This window comes from Homo sapiens, chromosome 9 (genome assembly GCF_000001405.40).
Source record: "Homo sapiens chromosome 9, GRCh38.p14 Primary Assembly".
NCBI lineage: Eukaryota > Metazoa > Chordata > Mammalia > Primates > Hominidae > Homo > Homo sapiens.
Window position 1 is genome coordinate 74675867 of NC_000009.12, and position 18634 is coordinate 74694500.

Here is an 18634-nt window from a genome sequence, read left to right on the forward strand (position 1 = left end):
AGAACAGCAGGACCACTGCCGAGGTTAGAGAGAGGGTGAGAGATAGGGCAGCAAATGTTTGAACTATAAAGACTGTTGCTCTTCCATTCTAGGGCTTTCTCTATTAAAGTCACTGAGTCTGCCATTCTTGTTGCCCTGACCAGAGGTGCAGAGGGTAGAGGATAAGGAAGGCCGGTCCAGCTGGGGCCAAGTTGTGGCAGTGTGCTCACGGCCAAGACCAAAGCTTGGATCTGTAGTGTCTTGCTCACATCTTGTCCTCAGATGCATGGGTCTAGCCCATTCCCAAATGCAGCCTACAGGTCAGGCCCATAGCTGGAGCCTTGCTTAATGTTGGCCTTCCCCAGTCTAGCCCCTCCTTTTGTGCCTCCTGGTTAATTAGAGTCATGAAATATTGTTAGATAGCATATTTATTTTTCCCAGCACTCCTGAAAATAGATACAACACTCCTGGAGGTGTGTTCTTGCCCAAAGCTGTATTGAGAAGTTTGAAAATAGCTAACTCTATAACAACACATATATCCAACAGGAAGCCATAGAGAACTGCTGATATCCCTCAGAGGCAAAGCCCACTCAGCTCACCATATGCAGGCTTAGAGAGGATGTTGCTTTTTATTTTCTCACAACTAACACTCAGCGAGTACCATGCCTTCAATTCACTTCTGAAAACATGTTCAAGTGCTTGTGCCTCACCATGTGCTTTACATGCAAGCTTTCCAGGAATCATGGGCCACACCACACCTCTGGGTGGTTTTAGGCCCATAGCTCTATGCTGATAAATCCTTTCTAATTCTCCTAGGATGTAGAGGAGTCTATAGTTACTTTGCTGAAGTTCACAATCTCCCTCTCTCTTTCTTCGTATTTCTGGCTGGCCAGAAAGTTATATCCCGTCCCCCGCGGGGCTCTCTCTTTTCCCGTTATTCTTCCTAAGCTCCTGCTAACCATGTAGATGTCCTAACCACACACCTGCATCCACAAGGAATTAGTGTAGTCTAAGGTTATGTCACGTTAATGAAAATGCAATGGGAATCTAAGGGTAGCCATGGAAAGAGAATATCCTGACTTAGAAGAATGACTGAAGCCTGTGCTGACTTTGAACTTTGAAGTTCATCTCCTCAGATCGTTTGGTTGATTCACTGTCATTGCCACGTGGGCCACAGAGGAGACAGATCCTCTCTCACACAGCTGAGTCCTAGAGTAAACACTAGGCATTTCCCCGGATCCCCCACAGACCGCTAAGAAGCCAGACTTCTCAAAAAGACATAATCCATACAGGCTACGACATAGAGAGAGTAGATTGATCTAACTCCGGATGATCAAGTGTAAAAAGTCCAGCTTTCCCCATCACACACCCATCCCATTCCAATAAGGCTCAGGAAGACGAGAAAGGGAGGCGTTCCTTTCATTTCCTGACTTCTGACCTACTATACCGTGGCCAGCACTACTTTGGGCATCTATGGTACAACATTCTCCTTCTTAAGGCTTTAGACTTATATATACTTATTTCAAATAGTTAGGATTTACAACAGAATGGGAAATATCTCATTAATTCTTTTTATGATTATATGTTGAAATAATAATATTTTAGGTACTTTGAGTTATATAAAATAGATTATAAAATTAATTGCACCTGTTCTTTCTTTTAACTGTGTGTAATGTGGCTGCTACAAAGTTTTAGGTTACATCTGTAGTCCACATTATATTTTTATTGGACATGGCTGATCTAGAATCTCTGAGGTTCAGACGAGAGGGAGATTCACCTCCCCTGCCTACTCCACACACATTCTCTTGCTTCCGTCATTCTGTCTGAGCAAAATCTTCTTATCCAGGTGAGGAACCTGAGCATTACCTTCAGCTTTCAGGTGAGACACTATCTAGAGTATGCAGCCTTCACTTTGCAGGATATAATGATAATGTGCTGTATTAATACAACATCATAGCCACAGCTTTCATATTGCAAAAGAAACATTCACGTGGAAATAGGGCGAAGTAGGAAGAGTTTCTAAAATTCATTTTTATCATTTTTGTTCACTCAATAAATACTTACTACAGGTCAAATATGCAAGATAAATAAACATAGATGAGATACAAGTTCACATGCTGTGGAGGAAAAAATCAAGTGCCTCACTGACTACAATGAAAAGAAACACATGATCAGAATCACAATGACGGATAAAAAGAATGGCGAAAGTTGAAAAGGATTGAGCATTTACTATGGGCCAGGCACTGTGCTGATAGATTCTAAATAGATTGACATTTAATTCTCAAAACTATACTCTCATTAGTTGAAACTTCAAGTGATTACATATCTTGCCTAACGTTAAGCAGCTTCTAAGTGGGAGAGCCAGAATTTGAACCCAGTTAAGCCAACTCCAGCACCTGAACTCTTAATGTAAGGCAGCTACTCCTAAATGTTTGAGAGGCCCAGAAAATGTCTCTTTCCAGCTCAGACCTCTGCAACTTCCCAGGGAGAATTGCAGTAAGTTGGGCCAGGAAATGTACATGCCAACAGATTCACTAACTTCTTAATTCCTATGCTTGTTTCTAGCATAAAGATAACAAAACTGTATCATCAACATGAGAGAGAAGCATGTCTTTCTATTATAACAATAATGAATTACTAAAAAAAAATTTAAAAAGCTTAAAAGATAGAAGGCTTAAACAACAATGCTAATAAGTGAAATTGTACTTGAAAGAAATCATTTCTGGTCACATTGGTAGTGCATTATCATTCAGATTTAGGAAAAACAGTCATGTTGATTTGTAGATGGAGTCTATGGACCAAACACTGATTGAGAGATCAAAGGAAACTACAAAAGGTCATTTATGGTTATTTTTATTGCTTTCTTATTGAGATCAAAATAGACTTCACTATGATTAATAATGGGATGGGCCAGGCGCTATGGCTCATGCCTGTAATCCCAGCATTTGGGAGGCCGAGGTGGGTGGATTACCTAAGGTCAGTTCAAGACCGGCCTGGCCAACACAGTGAAACCCCATCTTTATCAAAAATACAAAAATTGTCCCGGCATGGTGGCAAGTGCCTGTAATCCCAGCTACTCAGGAGGCTAAGGCAGGAGAATCGCTTGAACCCAGGAAGCGGAGATGGCAGTGAGCTGAGATCACACCACTGAACTCCAGCCTGGGAGACAGAACAAGACTCTGTCTCAAAAAAAAAAAACAAAAACAAACAAACAAAAAAAAAAACAAAAAAACCAACCAAACAAACAAAAACTGGGTGTTATATTAGAATTCCTAGCAGGTGGGACTAGAGATTTGGGTTCACTTTCATCTTAAATAGCACAGTCTGACTAATCAGCACTTGAGGAGCCACTACCCAGATGATGTGACTCGTGGTCTTAGTCTCCCTATTTTCATTTCTATTTGGTCAGGACTTTGATTTATACTTTAAAATGTCTATACTTTTTAAAAGTATAACATACATAGGGAAAAGTTCCCAAGTCATAAGTATGTACTTCACTGAATTATCACAAAGTTAGCATACCCGTGTGACCACTGCTGAGGTAAAACTGGCATCCCCAAAGCTTCCCTCAGGCTTCCTCCCAACAGTAAATATACTTTAAACTAATGCAAGAATAGGCAAAATTATAGAAAACAGTTCAACAGATCCCCCAAGTTTTTAAATTTCAAATCTAGACTGAAGAAACACAGCTCTCTCCTGGGATAGTTTTCTGCTTGAACCTGCATTTATTATGAATAGGTACTACGTGCCAGGTGCAAGGAGACAATTGTGAATAACACATGGCAGGTTTCGTTGAGGAACTCCACTGAGAAGCTAGATTATTTCAATGTATTTTAACTGTTTATGGTTTGCTGGCATATACTATAGGTAAAACATCCAGAAATTCCAAGAGTTGTCCATCAGATTAATGGTCTGTAAATTAGAAGAAAGGTTTTGATATTACTCCTCATTCATCAAATTGCAAGTTGATGTATTCATTAAGACTCTTTGGCCTGTAATCCCAGCACTTTGGGAGGCCGAGGCAGGCGGATCAGATCATGAGGTCAAGAGGTCAAGACCAGACTGGCCAACATGGTGAAATCCCATCTGTACTAAAAATACAAAAAAATTAACTTGGCATGGTGGTGCGCATCTGTAGTCCCAGCTACTCGGGAAGCTGAGGCAGGAGAATTGCTTGAACCCGGGAGGTGGAAGTTGCAGTGAGCCGAAATCATACCACTGCATTTCAGCCTGTCAACAGAGCGAGACTGTGTCTCTAAACAAATAAATAAATAAGTACTCTTTGGTTACAAGTAAGAGGAACCACCTCCAACCAGGTTAAGCAAAAGTATAAAAAATAAAAATAAAACAAATAATGAAGCAATATCTCATAGAACTCAAGGTTAAAAATGCAGCCATCAATCAGGAAAGTACTGGAACTACGAATTGGGAAGCCTTCCGAATTCTTCATCTTACACACTTATGTCCCTGTAGGTATCTACTTCATTCTTCTCCCTCTCTGAGTACCAGTTTTCTGTGCTTCCCTGGTCCACATGATGAAATATGGCTAGCTCTTGGCTCCTTAGGTTACTGGTAGTTTCTGCTACAATTAAAAAGCAACTTGCTGACTCTCAGTCTGGTTTCCTATTCCAGCCCCAGCTGAGTCAAATGTCCACTTCCATTTTGGTCAGCCATGCCCAGGGTAGAAAGTACAGGCACTGCCACACGGATGCTAAGGATGGGGTCAGGATTGTGGGGGCAGGGCTTATGACCCAGAAAGATGTCTCAAGTTTAATGTTATAATTCGAATCCAACTAGGTTTGACTCAACAGAAACCAAAAACAAAAAAAGAAAAAAAGAAAAGGAAATCAAATGGACATGTGAAATTGATGTGTTCAGCTTCACTTTATGTGCCCTGTTTTCATTCGTGCTCCTGAAGCTTCTTCCAATTTGATCAAACCATTGCTGGCTTCCTGCTTTAGGCTGGAGGGCATCTTGATGGCCTGGAAGCCCACATGAACAAGATCACTAGTTTTACCCTCTGCATGTTCCATTTTTCTAACATCAAATGTACCAGTTATAAAATTGTGAATTTTCTCATAAAACCGCCCACCGGAGAGAAGCATAGGATTATTATCTCTTCTCAAACAGCTGCTTTTTCTTCTTGTAGACCCCTGTAGGTATAAGCTAAAGCTCCCTTCTCATAAGAAATGCTTGTCATAAGAAAGAAATGAGTGTGAAAATGCCTTTTGATAGATCCTCTGTCTACTTCTGCTATGGGGATTATTTAAACATGAAGGAATTTCACGATGATTTAAAATTGACTACCCCCTCCATCTCCAAGTGCTTCTGGATCACTTCCCCAGCTGTTTAAAAAGTTGTTGAGCTATTAACTGCTGTGGAGGCTGCTCTGAGCTCCCTTTGAAATGGGGGTCCCCTGGCTGCAGTACATAATATTAATGAGCAATAAGTGATTGCCTGCTGCTCTCTACACCAGGCCCTTCTGGGCTCTGACAAGTGCTGCTGCCGCCTCCACATGGCCTCCTGGCCCACCATGCCTCCAGAGTGATGGATGCCCCTATCGGCACTTCTGTTTCCACAGCCGACTGGGTGTCTTGCAGTCAGCCTATTCCAAGAGCATGGACGCTGGGAGAGCTCTTCGCCTTCTCTGTGCTGTTTGCTGAAGCGATCTGAGTGCTCTTTAACAGAAAGCAATTCTCACCATCCAGCCCATTCTATAGATGAGCAACAGGAACTAGATCCAAATCGCATAAAAGAAGGCAGAACTGGGTCCTGAACCAGACTCTTAAATCCCAGTTTTTTTCCCAGGAAAAGAGGAAGAGTCCATATTAACATTCCAAAACCAGACACGTAATTAAATATTTCCAGGGCAAATGAGCAACTATAAAATGGTTTCAGTCACCCTCTTATACATTTCATGTCACACACCACCCTGTCACTAAAGGAGCAGAAAAAAATGCTTCAAGAATTGTTGTACATATGATTCTACATTGTGAGTCACAGTTAGTAAAATAAGCAACTTACTTGAATTGCTATAAGAAAATGAAAAATCAATATGATTTTGCTTTTTCATTTCAATAAATGTCAATGGCTGACTTTGCCATGCATTAACTTTTGGTTAATGACTCCACTTTTGGAGCTTGGTTGAGAGCTAAGCTGGCTTCCTGCCTTCCATGTCCTTCGACTGAAAAGCATGGCCTTGACTCTTTCTCTCCTGAAAGGAAGAGAGATATCTCAGACTGTGGGAGTGGAAGCATGACAGCTACCACATAGATCACCACTGTGTGTCAAGCACCACTGTAAAAAAATTTTTGTTGCCTCACTTAATCCTCACAACCTCCCTCTGAGGCAGGGACTGTTATAATCGTCATCTGACAGATAAGAATGCTGAGAGGTTGTTCCCCTTCCTGTGTCCATGTGTTCACCGGGGCCTGTTGTGGGGTGGGGGGAGGGGGGAGGGATAGCATTTGGAGATATACCTAATGTTAAATGATGAGTTACTGGGTGCAGCACACCAACATGGCACATGTATACATATGTAACTAACCTGCACGTTGTGCACATGTACCCTAAAACTTAAAGTATAATAAAAAAAAAAAGAAAAAGAAAACTGAGAGGTTAAGTGACTTGTCCGAGATCACATAGCTGTAAAGGACAGAAATAGGATTCAAACCCAAGCAGCCCAACTCCAAAGTCCATGTTCTTTATCAATAGACTAATCCTCTCTATGTAGTATTTGTGTGTCACAGGGAACTCAGGAATTTCATTACTTGACCCCCACCAAACTAATAGCTCTGAGCACATGGAACCTTTCCTCTCTAGATGTGAGAACTTCCATGTCTGCCTCCCGAAAAGCAGCTAATTCTACACTTAGTTCAGAGGACTGTTTCAAATTCAATGTATAATTTACTTTTTTAAGAATTTTCTTAAGAGACAAAGTCTTGCTATGTTGGCCAGGCTGGTCTCAAACTCCTGGCTTCAAGCGATCCTCTTGCCTCAGCCTCTACAGTAGTTGGGATTACAGATCTGAGCCACTGTGCCTGGCTCAACTTTTCAATTCTGAAAACCAGTTGTAAATTTATAAAATTTGAACCTCTGAAGCAGTGTTTTTCAAAATCGATCCCATGAACCCACTGCATCAGTGTCTGCAGGGAATGTTTGTTTCAAACATGGAGTCTGAGCTTCACCCAAACTCACTGAAACTGAATCCTCTAGGAGTAGGTCCCAGTAATCTGCATTTTTAAGAAGCACCCCAGCCACTCTTATTGACAAGATTGACAATAATTATAGAGTTGCATCTGGAAGTTTCAAGAGCTCTGCACATCATCAATTCAACTGCAGATGATTGTAGAAAGCGTTCAAAGCCACTCTGCATTCAACAGCTATTTCAGGGAGAATTACAATGTGCAAGAACTGTTCCTAAATTGTTGTAGTCTCCTTCTGTGTGAGCCAGCTGGTTAAGAGAGTTTGAATAATTTCCCAAGCGACTCCAGTTAAGTGGACACTTGAACACTCTGTACCTATGAAAATATAGAAAAGACACAGTTTTCCACCCTGGACCCAAAGTGAGTCTTTCAGAATGGGACTCTGAATCATCTTTCTTTTTTGCTTAAAACCCTCTCAGAGAACATAACGTGAACTATGAGGGCTTACATAATCTGGCCATGCACACCTCTCTGGCATTACCTCACCCACTGCTGCAGCGACTCTGAACTGCCTTCAGTTCTTCCAGAGTGCAAAGCGCTACAGCATCTTTGCACATGATCCTAGGGCATGTTATGTACCCTCTGCCCCAGCACCTAATTAGGTCTCTCACTCTTCCATCAGAGCTCAGCTTCAATGTCACTTTCTCAGGACAGCCATCCCAGGCCTGCCACAAGTCAGGGCATCTTCTTACCTCCCATTTTTCCTCCCGCTATTCTTCTTTGGCACTCACCACAGTTTTTCAGTCTGCTTTTGACTGTGTGGTAAACTTATTTCATCAGTTTCATCAAGTAGACTACAAACAAGAGTCATAATGTTTTGTGCATTCTGGTGTTTAGCCAAGTGCCTGCTACATACTAGGCATGCAATTCCTTGTGGTGCATCAAGAATGAAAAAAAATTAATAATGTTGGAGGTAAAGTTTTGATTCTCAGTCTAAAATTTAGCATCCATTCTATCGACAAAGATTCCGCATTTTTCATTTCTATCTCTGTCTTTAAATAGCAGTGGAGATGGTTAAGATTGGAAAGTCTGAACTCTAAACTTCTTTACACGTTCTAGATCCCTTTACTGAATATGTCAACAGCTCTAATCCTGATGCTAATTTTAAATTGCTTGTAGTATGGTTATATAGTCATTACTTGTTAAAAGGAAAGTTAATGAAAGAGTGGAAGTTTCTGATTTTGAAAAACCACAAGGCAACTAATTATCTATTTCCTCTTTTATTTCAAAGGCTGAAATGGATTCTTGTTATTGAATAGGGTAGGGAACATGATGAGCCTAACTGGTGATGAGATAGGTTTTGTTTAACTGTATTTTTCATCAATTTCAAGTGTGTCTTTAGTCAGCCATATGAGCTATCATGCCTATCTTTTATAAGAGTGTTCCTCTATACAAGAACATATCTCTCACAATAATTTAATCACAGTGACTTTTGTTTAAGCTAATTTTGACACAAAAATGATGGATTCGAAATGTGCCTAAACTATAAGTATGTTAAAAGCTGGAATTGTTCATCTCCTAAGACCCATACGGCATTTAAATTATTATAAAACACTGTCTTCTGGGTATCTTAACTCAAAAAATTACATCTTACATGATACATATATCAAAACCTAACAATTGTAAGTGGATATCCTTCCACTCATTTTTAGAACACCTTCCTAAGGAAGCTAAGTGCCAGTGACCTCCCAAATTCTCTATGTGTTTCATATTATGCATTACAGTGGAAACGGATTAGAGAGCCACTCTACAAGTGGGTTAGTGAGCTTGATAGCCAAGCAGTCCAGATCATTATAGATTGCACCTCATACAGTTTGGTTGTATATCCCTAAATATTGTCACCTTCCAAAGCTAAAAATCTAATATTCATGTCACAAAAATCTATGGGAAATTATGGGTAATAACAGTGTTCACTAACAATTACACTTCACATCTCCAGTGTTGTTAACACTTTTGTAGGAATTACCTCCCTCAGTCCACACAACAACCCAATGAAGTAGGTACTGTTAGTAAGCCCATTTTATGAATGAGAAAACTGAGACATAGACAAAGTCACAGCTACACCATTACTAAGCTCTTTTGGAACTCAGGTAGCCCAACTACAGAGCACCCACTTGTAACTATTAAACTAGAAAACCTCTCATATATACTTATTTAAGAGCGATGAATCAGGGATCTTGGTCCTGCTTGCTTTATTTTTCCTTTAGGAGATGGTGTCCGGGGGGGCGGGGGTGGGTACGTTTTATTTTGTTTTGTTGTAAGAGAAAAGCTGAAAGTGCGCCTTCTTTCTTTCTGAACATCTTTTTCCAAAGCCTTTTACCTTCATCTGGGGCCAGAAAGGACACTGGTTCCACAGACAGAGCACTAATGAGCTTCCCTCTCTATCTCCCTCTCTGTCTCTCCGTTCTGCAGTTAATAGCCAAGATACCAACCATCACGGCAGTTTGCAACTTGCACGGGGAGAAGCTGCAGGTATTTAAGCAATCTCATCCAGAGATAGTGAATACACTGTTTCCTCCGTTATACAAGGAGCTCTTTAATCCTGACTGTGCCACCGGCTGCAAATGAAGGGGACAAGAGAACTGTCTCATAGTCATGGAATGCATCACCATTAAGACAAAAGCAATGTGTTCATGAAGACTTAAGAAAAATGTCACTACTGCAACATTAGGAATGTCCTGCACTTAATAGAATTATTTTTCACCGCTACAGTTTGAAGAATGTAAATATGCACCTGAGTGGGGCTCTTTTATTTGTTTGTTTGTTTTTGAAATGACCATAAATATACAAATATAGGACACTGGGTGTTATCCTTTTTTTAATTTTATTCGGGTATGTTTTGGGAGACAACTGTTTATAGAATTTTATTGTAGATATATACAAGAAAAGAGCGGTACTTTACATGATTACTTTTCCTGTTGATTGTTCAAATATAATTTAAGAAAATTCCACTTAATAGGCTTACCTATTTCTATGTTTTTAGGTAGTTGATGCATGTGTAAATTTGTAGCTGTCTTGGAAAGTACTGTGCATGTATGTAATAAGTATATAATATGTGAGAATATTATATATGACTATTACTTATACATGCACATGCACTGTGGCTTAAATACCATACCTACTAGCAATGGAGGTTCAGTCAGGCTCTCTTCTATGATTTACCTTCTGTGTTATATGTTACCTTTATGTTAGACAATCAGGATTTTGTTTTCCCAGCCAGAGTTTTCATCTATAGTCAATGGCAGGACGGTACCAACTCAGAGTTAAGTCTACAAAGGAATAAACATAATGTGTGGCCTCTATATACAAACTCTATTTCTGTCAATGACATCAAAGCCTTGTCAAGATGGTTCATATTGGGAAGGAGACAGTATTTTAAGCCATTTTCCTGTTTCAAGAATTAGGCCACAGATAACATTGCAAGGTCCAAGACTTTTTTGACCAAACAGTAGATATTTTCTATTTTTCACCAGAACACATAAAAACACTTTTTTTCTTTTGGATTTCTGGTTGTGAAACAAGCTTGATTTCAGTGCTTATTGTGTCTTCAACTGAAAAATACAATCTGTGGATTATGACTACCAGCAATTTTTTTCTAGGAAAGTTAAAAGAATAAATCAGAACCCAGGGCAACAATGCCATTTCATGTAAACATTTTCTCTCTCACCATGTTTTGGCAAGAAAAGGTAGAAAGAGAAGACCCAGAGTGAAGAAGTAATTCTTTATATTCCTTTCTTTAATGTATTTGTTAGGAAAAGTGGCAATAAAGGGGGAGGCATATTATAAAATGCTATAATATAAAAATGTAGCAAAAACTTGACAGACTAGAAAAAAAAAGATCTGTGTTATTCTAGGGAACTAATGTACCCCAAAGCCAAAACTAATTCCTGTGAAGTTTACAGTTACATCATCCATTTACCCTAGAATTATTTTTTTAGCAACTTTTAGAAATAAAGAATACAACTGTGACATTAGGATCAGAGATTTTAGACTTCCTTGTACAAATTCTCACTTCTCCACCTGCTCACCAATGAAATTAATCATAAGAAAAGCATATATTCCAAGAAATTTGTTCTGCCTGTGTCCTGGAGGCCTATACCTCTGTTATTTTCTGATACAAAATAAAACTTAAAAAAAAGAAAACAAGCTAAGAGAGAAGTTTGTGTATAAGACAATGAAAATTATGGTCTCCTGTAAGTATATCCCAGCCACCAACTCCTAAAGAACTGCCCTTTTCTCCATATTAAACACACACACACTTACACACACACACATACAAACCCCTGCTTTGTAAAGTTTCCATCAGTGGAAACTTTGATTTCTTTTTTTAATCTCTTATGCTCTCCTGAAGTTCATGGTTGAGCACCATCTCCAAGATACCACAGAACTCTTGATTGATGATCAAAACAGTAGTGTCATCTTTTCCTTTTAGAAAACGGAACATTTTCTCACCTCATGATTGATGAATTCTAAACCAATGGGGAAAAACAAAAAGGCTTTAAAATAATGAATCTGTTTCTCAACTACTGTTATATTCAATTAATTTAACTACATTGAACCAAATTACCTTTGGTTCTAAGAAGACAGCTGTAGACTGCTTATTATGCTGCTACAGGGACTCAATTCTTTTTGGTGTAAATGTCACTCCTGCTAGCTCTTTGTATAAAGAATTAATTCCCAGAGTCATATTTCCTTCTAATGGAAAGATTACTCTACTGATTGCTAGGAAAACAGGGTAATGGAAGGCACTCAATTAAACCAAGCCGTTTCCAAATGCAATGTATGTTTTATGATTGGCTTGTGATAGGCGATGCTTCATGTGTCTACTTGGTGTTTCCCTTTGAGCTTTGAACTTATGTCAAACTTTGTTTTCATTGTTCTGTTGGCCTAGTGTTTTCCATTGTCAGCCTGTAATTCCTGCTCAGTTGCAGAGGGAATTATTTATTTCCTCCAATTTACCTTAGAGGATTTAAATTGGCTCAATTGATGAAGTGGCTCAGAATTTTTTCCTCCCTTTTCCCATGGGTGATATAGGAAAAAGATTGTTCCCCACATTTACCTTGGGAGGTACTGCTTTGAATTTGTGTTGTTTCCACTAGCGTTAAGCATTTCACTGGGACGGCATGGACCTTTTGAAGCTGGGAGGAAGGAAACAGAGCTAGCATCTGAACCAGAGCAAAACAATGGCAACCAGGACATACTCATCCCACTTAGTTGAGAGAAGAGATTTCTAGTTTGGGTTACAGTTGCCCAACCTTCCCTTTAAAGAGAATCCAGTCATGTTTTCAATGGTAAAAAGCCTTAAAAAGCTGCCCTTCGAAGATCTCCTATGACTGCATGTCAAGGTATTTTGTACCTACAATCCCAGAACTTGGTTCCTTCCCCATGAGGACTAACAAATGTTCACAACAATCATGATCAAGTGTGCACTGGAAGAAAAAATCCACAATCTGGGCTTCTCACTTCGTGCTTCATAAATGACAATCACTGCTTGATGCAGATGTTGCACTGTATCCACTCAGGGATGTTTCCTTAAAAAAAAAAAATACATCAAGAAGGAGGAAAAAATTAAAAACAGGAAAATGACAACAAAATGTGAATGGTATAAATTAAATATGTTGCTGAGAGCACCTCTCTGACAAGGCTTTCAGACCAACAAGCAGTAACTTCATGTCATAAACTAGATTGACTTATTTGGACTTGCTGAAAAGTTGCACCCAAGTAAGGACAACTTGGTCTCATTTTCTAAACTCTGCTAAGAGCCAAATAATCTAGCTGTCCCATTCAGAGGAATTTTTATCTCCCTGCAAATCCAAACTTTCTATACAAATCCTGAACAAGGAAAATACAGAAATCTAACTGGCATTAGATAAAATGGACAAGGGAGGTGAAACCGGGTGAATTCAAACTTCAGTGTATTTGTGGTCCATAAAAAGAAAGGGAAATTTTGGAGGGAAAATAGGACAGGAAAGGATTCCAAATCTGGTTTGACACCCGTATATGCCCGTACTGTCCATGACTCAACTAATCTCTTTGCCCCTTTTTCTGTGGCTCCTTTTTTGTTTTGAGACAGATCTTGTTCAACATGTTGCTCAGGCTGGAGTGCAGTGGCATGAGATCTTGGCTCGCTGCAATCTCTGCCTCCTGGGTTCAAGCGATTCTCCTGCTTCAGCCTCCTGAGTAGCTGGGATTACAGGCACACGCCCCCACACCCGGCTAATTTTTGTATTTTAGGTAGAGATGGGGTTTCACCATGTTGGCCAGGCTGGTCCTGAACTCCTGACCTCAAGTGATCCACCCGCCTTGGCCTCCCAAAGTGCAAGGATTACAGGCCTGAGCCACTGCGCCCTGCCTTCAGTGGCTCTTTTATCCCCCAAAGACTGAAAGCTGAAGGTGGAGATGTTCTCCACAAACATACCCTTTCTGAATTTCCCTTGTTTTAGCACTGTGTTCAGGGCTCTGGACTAAAGTACCTCTGAGTAGGTAAAATCAGAGAATATAACGATCTCCTGAGTGATTAGATTTCTTTGGTAGATTCCAAGAGATCTTAAATCATAATAAACTCTGAATATTAACAAGAGGTGCCAGGGAGGTGTCAGTACATTTCCTATCATAGCTGCCTTGTTCAAAGCATAATCTCAGAGCAGTCAAGCTAAACTGTTTGTAGAAAACCATGAAGATCAACTCATGCTCACTCTCTACAATGCAATGTGTACGAGGCTTGAAGGCAAAAACAATTCTTGGGTCCCAAGGACAACCTAAAACTTACCAGCTTTTTTCAAAAACAACAATCAGATGCAAATAATGGCAGTGTTGTTCTATGTTCTTTGTTTCTGTTCATTATAGAAGCAAGGAAAAATTCTATTTCTATTGGAAATTAGAAGAAATAATTTCTTCCTGACTCTTTTTTTTTCTATAAACTTTTATTTCCAAGGAAGCTGCTACAATTTGCAGTCAATTCAGGCCATGGACGTCTGTGCCCTAACAGAAGCACCGTTCAATAGAACAGCAATAACCTTAAAGTGTGCATCTGTAGTGAAACTCTGCACAAAGTCCCCTGCATAAAGAAGAGAGGAAAGCCTACCATCTGCTTTAGACGAAGTGTTATTTGATGTTCTGTTTCCAACTGTCAGTATAAGCAGCAACTAGAGTAAAGGCCTGATGTGGGAAACTATGGGGGGTCTTTCAAAAAAAAGCTGACACTCTATTCATTTTTGGGTCTCAGGACCAGAGGGTACAGGGTAGAGGGTAGTTTACCATTTAAAGCAGGGGTTGAAAATTCGAAAGCCTAAAAGGGCCAGGGGGCTTAATGCAAATGGGTGAAGCAGCCCAGGGGCAAGCTGGCCAGGAAATGCCCTGTGGAAAAAGGGACATCCACGATTTACCTGAAACTGAATGCTGCTAGAGCTTCTGAATTTTATAAAATCTCTGAAATTATACATGATGGCAGTTGATTCAGAGCTTAGTGCAGACCAAACAAATACATCACTGAGCAGAAGAGGGCCCATAGATCGTCAGCTTGCAGCCTCTGGTTTAAAGCAAAATCGCATCTGGGGCCAGCTCAACTGCAGCAAGTCTGGTCAGATTCAACCCTGGACGATATTAGAATGATATTAGTTTTGGAAGGAGGGGATGGAGATCTTCCCCTTCTAATACTCAATTTTGTTTTGGTATTTGATTGTCACAACTAGAGGATATAACAGGAGGTCAGTTTAAAAAATAGCAAACAGTCTAAAAATGAAAACTATTCAATTTAGTGATGGCTTATAAAAGACACTCCAACTTGTCTTGCCCAAACTCCCTTCTTCATAGAGCCAGGGGGCTGGATTTCTTGCCACTTTTTTTCTGAAAGGCAAATGCATGACTTTTATTCTTTTGGGTCTCAGTGTGTTTCTTGAACTGTGTGACTTCAATATCTGTGACAAGTTTTTATTTTCCCTTAGTTGTATGTGAAGAATTTATTCTATAGTCGTGATCATGTAGTCCTCCATTGTTTGGAAGTGCAGACCATGGATTCCTATGCAGCAGATGGGGGTTGTCTGTTTGTGCACTTTTTTCCTAAGCTGCTGAAATTCCTCCGATGTGAATGGGCCATAGTAATCTTTGCCTCCTGCGTGACTGTAAGCATGGCCTCCAGTGGATCAGAGAAAGCAGCTCAGTGATTGTTCTCATGGCCAAAAATAAAGCACAAGGGTTACCGGAATTGAATGAGCCCTGTTCAGGGCAGCACGGGGCATCTGCACCCCAGCTGGGCAGCATGATCCTTGTATTCAACTATACTCTTCTGGCAGTAGTTGGTGGCAAGCATTCGCGTGCCTCTGTCACAACCATACGTAGAAACACATTAGGTATGTCTGGAAAGCTACAAATCCCACATCCAAGCACAGTACCGTCTGCTTCATCTGATTAACACACACACAAGAAAGAAAAATTACACCCACAGAAAACTGAGTATGTATTGTAGAAATGTAGAGGAAAAATAAAAATATTTTTTCAAATGTAATTACTTTTAATATATGCTTGTGGAAGGTCTAATACAATGTATGCTGTCTCTGTAATTTTTGCTGTAAATAACTGGAGACGGTGAGTACACTGATTTTTCTATGTCTCTGTTTAAGCATAAGACTTTGTAACAATTTTTTTAGAGGGGGAAAATCAACAAAGAGCAAATATGTACTTGCTTCCTTTCTGCGTGTTATGTACTTCTCAGTTTTTTAATGGAAACTGGTTGTAACAGTTTAAGCATCTTGACGGGTCATTGGTGTTAAGTGTATGCTTCTTTTTGTAATATGACTGAGAAAGGGACAGGGCTGTCAATTAAATCTGCTCCAAAGAATTTGTATTGAAGATTGGCCTAAGACCTGCAAACTCCATCTATAACTAGAAAATACGAAAAAGGAAAATTAAAAAAAAAAGTTGCCTGAGTTAAGTCATCTTTCCTTGTAGCAAATGGCTTTGTCCAAATCCTTTCTGCATGGAATAGCTTAAGGAAAACAAACTCCGCTTTCTGATGAACAAGATATTTTTGTACACATTTATTTCTTGTTAATAACCTGAGGTCAGACCACTCATTTGCTGAAGCCATAACTGACCTTCACCAAATAAATGTTGTAAAGAACCTAGGGGAGGGTTGGGGAGAGACTGAGAGGGAGGAAAATCCAAGGTGTCATGAGCTATAGCAACACAGGCAGGAGCAAGTTGTTGAAACTGATGCTTTTCCTGCATCCCAAATATGACTTTAAAAGGCTAGTATTTTATGATGATCGATTTATAATGATAAAAAGATATTTAGATTTAAATGAGACATTCCAATATTTTTGAAATCCCTAACAATGCTTCCTTGCTTTTAGGATTGAGAGAAATGATTTTCATATACTTCCAACATTCAGAGATTTAATGTTTTTACCTTAGCTCCAGCCTACGCTTGTAAAGTGAAGAGTGATTCTAAGTCCCGTGAAACCGTGGGCTGCCTGGGGCTTGGCTGTGCCCACTAACCTACTGCGCCTGGGGGGCAGCATGGGAGGGGTACAGTTTGCATCTCATTAGCATGCACACCACTGTTGGCAATGCATAAAAGTTGCATTGCCACAAGTATGTAAAATAAAAATATTCACTCTAAAAAGAATAATAATTCTACTTTTTTAAAAGAATAATGTCTCTTATAGTCACCATTGATTTTTCTGGAGTTTAATTACATTATTACCATGTATTCTTATTGGCCTGTAGAGGAAAAAGGCAAACCACAAATAAACCCAGTGACATATATAGTTTTAAAATCTACAATTTTCTGATCTCTCTCTCCTTGTTTAATATATAAGCCCTAATTTCTGTGTATGTGAGTAAAACTGCAGCCTGAGTCATTTAGGAAGTAAGTATTGAGTTTTTTTAATCATAAATATACTAGAATAAAACAGCACTCCCTAACAATTAAAAAAGAGTTTTATATTACTTTAGAATGTAATAGGTTTTTGTCCTTATTTTATGTCCTGTAAATTATTAGTTCAATACTGTTAGCATTCCCGGATAATGCACACATGATTTCTGAATGTTTTCTGTAAATGACAATCAATGTTTATGAAGTTTCCTCCTTTAATGCTGAACAAAATTAAAAGAAGAAAAAGAAAAAAGGACTGCCTAATGGTTTTCTTTCCTCCCCACCCCAACCCCCACTCTCATCCCTGGGAACAGGGAATGGGTAGAAAAGATAAGATTTAGCTTTGAAAACATTACCCCATGGGTTCTTACCTACAGAGTTTTCCTTTTTCTAGTAAGTAATGGTTAATTTTTTTTTTTTTTTCAGGAAATTCTTGTGTCCTCAGGGACCTGGCCTGAGTTAGAAATATTCATTGAGAAAAGACTGAGTCCATTCTAGCCAAATAGCTTACCAAGTTACAATTAAAATGAGAGCAGCATCTCTCAAAGATAATAGCTCTCTTTTTCTCAGCACTTTAATAAAAGGAAGCCCCAGCTAACAGAGCCATAAGCAACTCCCCTGCAACCATTTTGTTGAAATAACGTGCAGCAGGTTTGAAATGGATATGACAATCCCTACATCTGATGAAAGCTTTCAGATAATTAATGATTAAGTCTCTGTGTCTGATTTTTTTTGTTTTGTATCAAGCTGCTCCACTACCAAAATCAATGCCCACCAACATATGAATGCTCTGAATCTCATTTGGAGCTGGATTAGGAAGCAATTGAGGATAATCACAGACTCACAGTGATGTTGAAAAAGGTAGTTCCGAGAGAGGCCAGCAATTTTTCAGGTGCTTGGAAGTTGCTGCAGATTGGGGTCCCTAGAGCTGAAATGCTCCAAGAAGAGTAGTTTAAAGCAAGACTTAAGAGATTTTAAAAGTAAAAGCGCTGATGCAAATGACAGGATGAGCTCTAGAAACCCTTCTGTAAAGTTTCTTCCAAACTTCGCTGGTCTTTGGAACCAGTGAAAACCCTTCCAGTATGTTTCAAGCCACATCTCTACTCAAGACATTCAGATCCCATGTGACTCTGCTCAGAGATTACAGAAACAGAGAACTGCACTGATGTTTCTGTGAGAGCACCATTTATGTCCCTTGGTTTATAATAAGGTCTTCAAGTGTCTAGTCAGAGATGGCAAACATATTACCTCAGCCTATCCCAGGCTCATGTCAATTGTCGTCAATGACTGGTCATAGAACTCTTGGCTAAAAAGTCATCTAAAGTTTTTTTCAGAAACTTAGATCTATGCAGCATTGCAATACAAGATAAAACTTACCATTTTAAAATTCAGCTTGGACCATATAACATGATAATTATTAACTTTTAATAGAGTTATCAGAAATTATAAATTAAGCCCTTTTTATGCACATAGCTTTGTTCTGTTCATAGATCCTCTTCTTTACTTAAGAGCAAGTCCTGGTGACATATTCCCACAATCACAGTAGGCCAATGTGCATGAGACATGTCAATTATCA

The 18634-nt window shown here is 39.4% G+C and overlaps 1 protein-coding gene across 2 annotated transcripts in view, besides 1 other annotated feature; it reads left to right on the top strand.

Annotated features, from left to right (window-relative positions):
• Positions 1-17311, top strand: part of RORB (RAR related orphan receptor B) — a 195843-nt gene extending 178532 nt beyond the window's left edge. For both annotated transcript variants that reach the window (NM_006914.4, NM_001365023.1), the window contains exon 10: positions 9597-17311. In NM_006914.4, the coding sequence (NP_008845.2) occupies positions 9597-9752 (156 nt within the window). In that variant the 3' untranslated portion in view covers positions 9753-17311. The remainder of the gene's footprint in view (positions 1-9596) is intronic.
• Positions 9627-9921: a silencer, noted in NCBI's record as "tiled region #9792; K562 Repressive non-DNase unmatched - State 24:Quies". NCBI's record gives its function as "represses a minimal TATA promoter and a strong SV40 promoter by Sharpr-MPRA in K562 cells {active_cell/tissue: K562}" and the evidence as "EXISTENCE:reporter gene assay evidence [ECO:0000049][PMID:27701403]".